Consider the following 8025-nt stretch of genomic DNA (forward strand, 5'->3'; position numbering starts at 1 on the left):
CATAAGATAGCAATAACATCTGTAAATTTCAATGCCGTTGCAACTGTATGCTTTACAACGATTCATTGGTGTGACATTACACATTTGCTGTCTATGAATCTGCCCAAATTTAGAAACTCAGGACTAATTGCTATTGCTCTTTGTAATTTGATCATTGTTAAATAGGTGAGTGTTTCTTCATTTGCCACCGAAATATAGTATTTAACCAGTGTTACATAGGTGAAATTAGTGGCATTTACCATTTGCTCTGTTTTGCCCATATTTTCTTGGTTCTGGAAGATAAACAGTATTTGGTGAATTGTGTAGTGCAGTTATCTATGATCATGTGAAATTCATATCTGCCGTTTGTTAATTAACTTAAAAAGGTGGTAGCTTCAAACAAAATAACTGTTAATAGTGTTGATGAAACTGTAAAAATTTGATGTGAGAGCTGAATCTCCATAATTCTTTATATTTCGTTTAATCTGACATACTTTTGTTCTTTCTGTTCTTCAGAGAGGACTGTATCCGGTTCTGGACAATTTAAATAGAAGCGTGGATTGTTCAGAGAGATATTTTATAGAAGAGAAGCTCAAATTAATTGAGACTGTTTAGCTTGGAAAAGAAAACTTAACAGAAATTTCCAAGTATAGAGAGCCTTGTTTTGCAGAGGATGGAAAACAGCTGTCCTAAAACTCAAGGACACTAGAATAAGAGGGCAGGGACTTAAAGTGTAATCAGAGGGATTTAGTTAAGATACACTGAACACTTTTCTATTCAGCAAAGGCTAGTAGACCCTGGAGTGGGTTCTCGAAGGCAGCTGTGGGCTTTCTTTCTCTGGAGTCTTAGGAATTTGACACTGTTTTCTTTTTCTTTTCTTTCTTTTTTTTTTTTTTCTGGAGATGGAGCCTCACTCTGTCACCCAGGCTGTAGTGCCATGGTTTGATCTCAGCTCACTGCAGCCTCTGCTTCCCGGGTCCAAGTGATTCTCCTGCCTCAGCCTCCTGAGTATCTGGGATTACAGGTGTGAGCCACCATGCCCAGCTAATTTTTGTAGTTTTAGTAGAGACGGGGTTTCACCATGTTGGCCAGGCTGGTCTCGAACTCCTGACCTGAGGTAATCCACCTGCCTCGGCCTCCCAAAGTGCTGGGATTACAGGTATGAGCCACTGCACCCGACCGACACTGTTTTCTTGTTGATCAGTTGGAGGCAGAAGTTTGGTGACACTTCTAACATATTAAGACTTTGGCATTTCGACATTTAAAAATTTTCATTGGAACATCTGAAGAGGGCAGAAAGGTCTTTGTAAAATTATATCGGAATATTACAATGAAGAGGGAGAAAAGAGAGAGGAGACCATCAATGCACAGAATTCAGCAACAGGGCTGGGTTTTACCTGACCACTTACTTCGTTTCGTCTCCTACAGTTCATATTCTACCCAGCACTCAGAACGATCCTTTTTATTCATTTTAAAAATACTACATCAAATATATATTTTATTGTAGTAAACTATAAATAACATAAAATTTACCACTTGACCATTTTTAAGTGTACGACTTGGTATTAAGTGCATTCACACTATTATGCATCCATCACCACCATCCATCTTGAGAACTTTTCTATCTTGTAAAACTGAAACTCTCTATCTATCAAACAGTAACTGCTGATTGCCCACTCCTGCCAGGCCCAGGTAACCAATATTCCACTTTCTGTCTCTATGAACTTGAATGATCTTTTAAAAGAGCATATCAGGGCACACGATTTCCCTGCCTCAATCCTTGCTATGGCTTTTCATTGCAGTTAGCATACATTCTCAGTAACTCGCTGTGGCCCTGCCTGCCTCTGTGACCTCATCTCAAACATTTTCTCCCATGTTCATTGCACCCCACTACTTTGCCTTTTTTGTCACACTAAGATTGTCATATTGGGTACTGTTTCTTTCCTTGAATAGCTTTCCCCTAGAGCTTTGCATGGCTTCCTCCTCATTATTTGGTTTCAGCTCTGGTATGACCTCTTTGTTTTGTTTGTTTTGTTTTTTTGAGACAGAGTCTTGCTCTGTCACCCAGGTTGGAGTGCAGTGGCACTATCTCTGCTCACTGCAAACTCTGCCTCCCAGGTTCAAACGATTCTTGTGCCTCAGCCTCCCGAGTATGTGGGATTACAGGTGTGTGCCACTACACCCAGCTAATTTTTATATTTTTAGTGGAGACGGGGTTTCGCCATGTTGGCTATGGTGGTCTCAAACTTCTGACCTCAAGTGATCTACCTGCTTTGGCCTCCCAAAGTGCTGGGATTACAGGTGTGAGCCACCATGCCCGGCCCACCTCTTTGTTTTTTGTTTTTGTTTTTAAGAGACAGGGTCTCACTCTGTTGTGCAGGCTGGAGTGCAGTGGCACGATCATAGCTCACTGTAACCTCAAGCTCCTGGGCTCAAACAAGCCTTTGGCCTCAGCCTCCCAAATAGCTGGAACTATAGGTGCCCACCACCATGCCCAGCTGTTTCTATTTTTTTAATATTTCGTAATGATGGGGTCTTGCTTTATTGCTCAGGCTGGTCTGGAACTCCTGGCTTGAAGTGATCCTCCCACCTTGGCCTCCCAAAGTGCTGGGATTACAAGTGTGAACTATCATGTCCCAGTATGACCTCTTTAGAGTGGCCTCTCCTTACCACTCAGTGTAAAGAAGCATCCTCTCACTCTTCTCTTTCTCATTATCTTATTTTATTTTCCTTATAGCATTTATAACCCCCTGGAGTTACTTTATCTTCCTTCAGGATATATCCAGAATCTGGCTGCTTCTCACCTCTCCACTCTTACCTCCCTGATCTAAGCCACCATCATCTGGCACTAGGATGGCCATGGCAGTCTCTGCACTTGCTCCACATTGTTCTACCCTCCCTGGCCTTTTCTCAACAATCAGGCAGAAGCATCCTTTTAAGACAGAAGTCAGATTACATGGGTTTCCATTCCTCTCAGAGTGAAAGATGAAATGTTTGTGTGTTAGTCCGTTCTTGAGTTGCTATAAAGAAATACCTGAGGCTAGGTAATTTATAAAGAAAAGAGATTTACTTGGCTCACAGTTCTGCAGGCTGTACAGGAAGCATAGCACTGCCATCTGCTTCTGGGGAGGCCTCAGAAAACTTACAATCATGGTAAAAGGAAAAGGGGGAGCAGGTGCATCACAGGGGGAATGAGGGAGCAAGAGAGTGGGGGTGCCGCAGTCTTTTTAGACAACCGGATCTCCTGTGAACTCAGAGCAAGAACTCATTCATCACCAAGGGGATGGCACTAAGCCATTCACAAGGGATCCGCCCCCATGATCCAAACACCTCCCACCAGGCCCCATCTCCAACACTGGGGATTACATTTTGACATGAGATTTGGAGGGGACAAAACATCCAAACCATATTATTCCGCCACTGGCCCCCCAAATCTCATGTCCTTCTCATATTGCAAAATACAATCATCCCCTGCGAATAGCCCCCCAAGCCTTAACTCATTCTAGCATCAATTCCAAAGTCTGAAGTCTCATCTGAAATTCATCTCCTTCCAACTATGAGCCTGTAAAGTTAAAACAAGTAATTTACTTCCAGGATACAATGGTGGTTCAGGTATTGGGTAAACATTACCATTCTAAAAGGGAGAAATTGATTTTTAATCCACAGTCCAGTTGTAGTCCTCCCCTGAAAATACCCTTTCTTTCTCTGCCAGATGGCTAGGCTGCAAATTTTCCAAACTTTATGCTCTGCTTCCCTTCTTTTAGAAAGGGGCTGCAGGCTCCCCACAAGTCTGAAACCCAGCAGCGCAGGCATTAAATCTTAAGGCTCCAAATAATCTCATTCGACTGCATATCCCTCATCCTGGTGCTTGCAGGGTGCAGCCCCCATGTCTGCTCTCACAGGTTGGAGTTGAGTGCTTGTGGCTTTTCTAGGCTCAGGGTGCAAGCTGCCCATGGCTCTACCATTCTGGAATCTGGAAGGTGGTGGCCCTGTTCCCACAGCTCCACTAGGCAGTGCCCTGGTGGGGACTCTGCGTGGGGGCTCCAACCCCACATTTCCCCACCACACCACCCTAGTAGAAGTTCTTTGTGAGGGCTCTGTCCCTGCCGCAGGCTTCTGCCTCGGCACCCAGGCTTTCCCATATATCCTCTGTAATGTGGGGAGCTGCTAAACTTCCCTCACACTTGAGTTGTGTGTACTTGCCAACTTAACACCATGTGGAAGCCACCAAGGCTTACGGCTTGCACCCTCTGGAGTAGCGGCCCAAGCTGTACCTGGGGCCCTTTGAACTGTGGTTGGAGCTGGGGCAGCCATTATATGGGGAGCAGTGTCCTAAGGCTGAGCAGGGCACAGGGCTGGGCCTGGTCCTTGAAACCATTCTTTTCTCCTAGGCCTCTGGGCCTATGATGGGGTAGGGGAGGCTGTCTCCAAGAGCTCTGAAATGCCTTTGAGGCCTCTTTCCCATTGTCTTGGATATTAGCATTTGGTCCCCTTTTAGTCATGCTAATCTCTCTAGCAAGTGGTTGCTCCACAGTCCAGTTGTATTCCTCCCCTGAAAATGCCTTTTCTTTCTCTGCCATGTGGCTAGGCTGCAAATTTTCCAAACTTTATGCCTTGCTTCCCTTTCAAATATAAGCCCAAACTTTAAGTCATTCCTTTGCTTCCATATCTGATCATAGGTTGTTAGAAGCACCCATGCAGCATTTTTTTTTTCTTTTTGAGACGAGGTCTCTGTTGCCTAGGCTGGAATACAGTGGCATGAACATGGCTCACTGCAGCCTCAACCTCCTGGGCTCAAGCCATCCTCCCATCTTAGCCACTATGTCTGGCTGAGTTTTAATTTTTTTCTAGAGACAGCGTTCTCCCTGGGTTGCCCAGGCTGGTCTTGAATTCCTGGGCTCAAGTGGTCCTTCCACCTTGGCCTCCCACAGTGTCGGGATTACAGGCATGAGCCACTGTCTCTATCCCCATGCAGCTTCTTAAATGCTTTGCTGCTTAGTAATTTCTTCCACCAGATACCTTAAGTCATCACTCTTAAGTTCAGACTTCCACAGATCCCTAGGATGGAGACACAATGCAGCTAAGCTGTTTGCTAAGGTGTTAACACAGGTGATCTTTGCCCCAGTTCCCAATAAGTTCCTCATTTCCATCTGAGACCTCATCAGCCTGGCCTTCACTGTCCATATTTCTACCAGCACTTTGGTCACAACCACTTAACAAGTCTCTAAGAAGTTCCAAACTTTTCCTCATCTTCTTGTCTTCTTCATAGCCCTCCAAACTCTTACAACTTCTGTCCATTACCCAGTTCCAATGCTGCTTCCGTATCTTCAGGTATCTTTATAGCAACACCCCTCTCCTCATTACAAATTTTCTGTCAGGCTGTTTTTGCATTGCTATAAAGAAATATATGAGGCTGGGTAATTTATAAAGAAAAGGGGTTTAATTGGCTCATGGTTCTGCAGGCTGTACAAAAAGCGTGGTGCTGACATCTACTCCTGGTGATGGCCTCAAGAAGCTTACAATCATGGTGGAAGGTGAACGGGGAGCAGGCCCATCACATGGCAAGAGTAGGAGAGAGAGAGACGGGGAAGGTGCCACACTCTTAAATAATCAGACCTCACATGAACTCAGGGCAAGAACTCACTCATCGCCAAGGGATGGTGCTAAGCCATTCATGAGGGATCAACCCACATGATCTAATACCTTCTGCTAGGCCCCACCTCCAACATCAGGAATCACATTTCAACATGAGATTTGGAGGGGACACACATCCAAGCTATATCAATTTGGAAATGACCTACAAGCCTCTCATGATCTGGCCCACTGTGACCTTTCTGACTGTATCTCCTGCTGCTGTGTGTCTCACCCATTTTACCCCCACAACATTGGTCTCTTTGATGTTCTTTGAGCACACCAGAATTAAAAACACCCATGTGCCAGGTAATGAGGACTATTTTACACATAGAAGAAGCATCAGATATGGTGTGTGGCTTGACATGCACTACTAGAATCCAAAGTAAAAAGGCCAGTGAGAAAACTAGGTTATTTCCTTTTCCCTGCCAGTGCAGGTGGATGGAATCAGCCTATTACCTTAATTGGACCTTGCTGGAAGATCAAGACACATCTTTAATGGCGGATGTTAAAAGCACATGCATAAGCCAGGAAGGAAACAGAGCCCTGTGGCTCTTGCCACACCCTGTGGTTTTGTCCTGGCTGATCCCTCTTTAACATTCTATAGCATTTATTTATTTATTTATTTATCAGATGGAGTCTCTCTCCGTCACCCAGGCTGGAGTGCAGTGGCGTGATCTCGGCTCACTGCAACCTCTGCTTCCCAGGTTCAAGCAATTCTCCTGTCTCAGCCTCCCGAGTAGCTGGGACTACAGGCGCCTGCCACCATGCCCAGCTAATTTTTGTATTTTTAGTAGAGATGGGGTTTCACCTTGTTGGTCAGGGTGGTCTTGAACTTCTGACCTCGGGTGATCTACCTGCCTCAGCCTCCCAATGTGCTGGGATTACAGGCATGAGCCACTGCGCCCGGCTGCATTTGTTTATTTATCCAACATATTTATTGTTTCTTGTCTGTCTCCAGAATATATGGTCTACATGGTAGGGATTTTCATCTATTTTATTCACTGCAGTATCCACAATGCTTAGAATAGTGCCTGCCATGTGGTAGATATTTGTTATGGGTTGAGTGTGTCTCCCAAAAAGATACGTTGAAGTCGTTAACCCTGGTAGTTGTGAATGTGACCTTATTTGGAAATAGGGGCTTTGTAGATGTAATTGAATTAAGATGAGGTTATTAGGGTGACTCCTAATCCAGCAAGATTGGTGTCCTTATAAAAGGAAAATGCCGTGTGATGACAGGTAGAGATTGGAGTGAAGTGGCTGTGAGCCAAGGATGCCAAGGATTGACAGCTACCACCAAAAGCCAGGAAGAGACAAGGAAGGATTCTACAGAGTCTCAGAGGGAGAATGCCCCTGCTGACACCTTGATGTCAGTCTTCTAGCCTCTAGAACTATGAGAAAATAAATTTCTGTTGTTTTAAGCCACCCATTTTCTGATACTTTGTTATGGCAGCTCTAGGAAACTCATAGAATACTTGAAAAGTATTTGTTGAATAAATGCATCTATTGTTTATATATTTATGGTCTGTCTTTTCCACAAGGATGAAAAATTCTTGAGGACAGAGTCTCTCTTATGCTTCATTGCATCCTTGGTCTCTAGAACAATTCCTGGGCCAAGGAGGTGTTCCACAATGTTTTAGAGAGGCAGGATAGAATGATGGGAAAGCATGGGACTCTGTGCCAGGCAACTTGGATTTAGGTTCCAGTTCTACCACCTTTGGGCAGGGCACCTGCACCACTGTCTCTTCATTCGTTAGCATACATAAAGGACTCAGAACAGTGCCTGAGTCATTAATCACTCAGTACCTGTCCTCTATTATTAGCTGGTTTATATGGCATGATGAGGCTAAGATTAGACATGGAAAACCTTCATCAGCTGGGGACTCAAGAGGCCCCAGCTCACTGTGGAACCTTAGGCAAGTGATTTTGCCTCTTTGGACCTCTGTCTCCTCTTCTTTACAGGAAGGTGTTGGATTGGCACTCCTAAGGTAATTTCCAGCTTTGGCCTTTTATGAGTCCATACAGTGTATGGCCTGTATAAACAGGCAATATTGGTGCCGCCTTCCAAGGGTAGATTGAAGATGTAGTACTAAATTGTAGTACTCATTGTAGGTCATGCCAGAGAATGAGACTTGGCAGGCTTTCAGTTGAGGAGAGGAGATACAGAGAAGGGGAAAACCTGGCTTTCTCTGATACCCCATCCTGTCAAGCAGCCCTCAAGTGCATCCTACTGTACTGGATGGAAATTCAAGTGAGAGATTCTGGGGAATCCTTTCAAGCTCACTGGGGACACTTTATGCTGAAAATTATATTCGTGTGATTCCTTTTTTCTTTTATTGATACGGACCCAACTTAACAAAAAGCATCATTATTTTGGAACAACTCACATTACTGCTTTTACTTGCCAGCATGCCT

The sequence above is a fragment of the Homo sapiens genome, chromosome X, assembly GCF_000001405.40.
Source record: "Homo sapiens chromosome X, GRCh38.p14 Primary Assembly".
Taxonomy (NCBI): Eukaryota; Metazoa; Chordata; class Mammalia; order Primates; family Hominidae; genus Homo; species Homo sapiens.